We start from the raw sequence: 2,613 nt of genomic DNA, 5'->3' as shown, positions 1-2,613 counted from the left end.
ATATGATTTGGAGAGTAAGATCAACATATAGGCCTAGACCAAGGAGAAGCGTACCACCTCCTGAGCTGATTGGGCCTATGCTGGTGAGTGTCTTAACCTTTGATGTTTTCTATTAGCAGAAAGTTATTTTTGTAACTTGTTGTTACAAAACTATGTTTTGTAATTGTTGTTGAACCAGTATGGATTCACCAATAAAGGTCTTCCATGCTGATAAAAATGATCATGGCATCTCATGAAGGAAAGACTAATCCAAGAGGATTAAGTTCTTCTGTTGTCTGGATGGATGATCTTGTGTTCCCCAGATTTTGCCCACGATTTCCTTCTCATGCTTATTTGCAAAAGATTACACACATTCATCCCAACATAGATTAAAACAGCTTCCAGAGCCCTTGAGGGCAACTGTCTTAGAGTAACCTCTCTGTGGGAAGAGTAACTTTATGAAGTATAAGTATGTGGAAGAGTGCTGGAGAAATGTCTTTAGACTTATGATCAGAAATATCTATGTATTCTGTATATTTATATTATTGAAATGTATTGATAACAAATTATCTGCACACACACACCCCTGGTTCCAGGAGCCCAGTGATGAGGAACCTCAGCAAGAGGAACCACCAACTGAAAGTCGGGATCCTACACCTGGTGAGGAGAGAGAAGATCAGGGGTGCAGCTGAGATTCAAGGTGCTGGGAAGAGAAAGAAAGAATATCTATGGTTGGGGGGTGGGCAGGAGAGGCCTATATGTGCATCATGCATTATGCCATAAACAGTAACAGGAGGAAAGAAAACATTAGGAAAGGATCTCAAACACTTGCTCAAAGTTGGCTGGAAAAGTGAAGAGTATAGTTTGCAGCTTCATGCCGTCCCTGGATACGATGAATCTTCTCTTTTTCTTCGACGTTTATTTTGCATGCTTGAAAATACAGTCCTTGCTAAATCAGATGAAACTCTTTAATGTGGTGTACAAAATTTCACTAGTTTTATCTTCTTAGAATGTTGTCTGATCTTCTCAGCTGTGGTGTCCACAGTATTGTATGCACCCTTTAATAGCATGTAGAAAGCCAAGTCACCCTACCTTATAACATCCTGAATAAAGCCCATTTGCATAGGGATATTAGCCCCATTTTATAAGTAAGAAAACTGAGGCTCTGAAATGGAGGCTTACCAAGAACACTTGACTCATGGAGAAGGAATTCATATTTCATTCCAAGGTTTGTGTTCTTCCTACCAACTGTGTTAGAAAATGTGAATTATTTTGCTTAAAATGTTCATACTCGAATGTGTCTCTACTGTAAGGTACTTCAGTGAAGCAGGATAGTAACTCCAGAAAAGAGCTCAATGAATGACAGCCACTGTTTCCTTTGCTCTGTATTTTTGACAGTATGTTTGGTAAAAGTTGGATAATTTAGGACATTGGCATACAGGTAGCTATATTAGTATGATTTTAAGGGACTTTTTAACGGTTTAAATACTTTTATAATTAGAAAACTCAAAGTATGATAAGATTATCATGAAACAGAAATTATTTCCTCAACAGATAGCATTTTGAAGTTAAACATTGACAGAATTTGGGTCATGGATTATTTTAGCAATTCACTGTTAAGGGGTTTCCAGAATATGACTGTCAACAATACCCATTAATTTTTTTTCACTCAAGTTCCTGTACTCTCATGGAAGACAGTGATTTTGCTGTTGTATTTGGTATTTTTTTCTGAATGAGATTCATTTATGGAAAGTTACATATAGGGCCTTTGGACCTAAGTTTGTTTAATTTTAACCAAAAAGTTTTCAAGTTACCTCAACAGGTGATGAGTGTCAGGACTGTAAGATTTGTCATAGGCTTACCAATACACTCATCTAATCTTTCAGAAAATTACATTTAAGTTATGATTAAAATGCTATCCATTGAGCAGTCTTTAGATTTCCTAGACAGCTGATACTCACTGTTTATAATACACAATGGTAAAGTATAGGAAATGTAAGTGTGGTCTGATTTTTCCTCAGATTGTCATTTAAGATAAGATTTTATAATACAGGAAAACAAAGGTGGGACATCTTTGCATCACATTTATTACCACAGTAGCCTACAGCCTTTTATTTCATAACGCTGAGGAAAAGAATATTATCATTTCCTTATTTATCTTTCTTGTTTGCCTGCTTCAGTCGATAACCTTTGTATTTTTAAGTACCTGACCTGGAAACTGATCTCCAGGAGCTGTCTCAGTCAAAGACTGGGGATGAATGCAGAGATGGTCCCGATGACAAGGGGAAGATTCTGCCAAAATCAGAGCAATTTAAAATGCCAGAAGGAGGTATGCTATCCATTTAGATGCAAAATTATATGCTTTCTGTTTTCCACAATATTATACTTTTGATAGTAAGAGAGAACATTACTACCCCTTTAAAATCAGAGTTCAAATGCAGACTTTCTTTGAAAGGTTGTTCAGACTCCAGTTGCCTGACCGCAAGACTTAAACACTGTCAGATACAGACACAAATTGGGTCAAAGCCATATTGAATCATAAATATGAGAGCATATTCTTACTTCTGATTATACCCAACAACTAACAATTTTCAGATTATTTTCTCATTTCTGCTTTTAACAAATACATAATGC

The 2,613-nt window shown here is 36.5% G+C and overlaps 1 pseudogene across 1 annotated transcript; it reads left to right on the top strand.

Annotated features, from left to right (window-relative positions):
• Nucleotides 1–2,325, top strand: XAGE-4 (protein; annotated as a pseudogene). The gene is made up of 3 exons (XR_001755743.2): nucleotides 1–83; nucleotides 576–679; nucleotides 2,183–2,325. The product of XR_001755743.2 is annotated as an XAGE-4 protein (transcript).
• Nucleotides 2,326–2,613: the final 288 nt, after the last annotated feature.

The sequence above is a fragment of the Homo sapiens genome, chromosome X, assembly GCF_000001405.40.
Source record: "Homo sapiens chromosome X, GRCh38.p14 Primary Assembly".
Lineage (NCBI taxonomy): Eukaryota > Metazoa > Chordata > Mammalia > Primates > Hominidae > Homo > Homo sapiens.
This window is presented reverse-complemented; position numbering and strand designations above follow the sequence as displayed.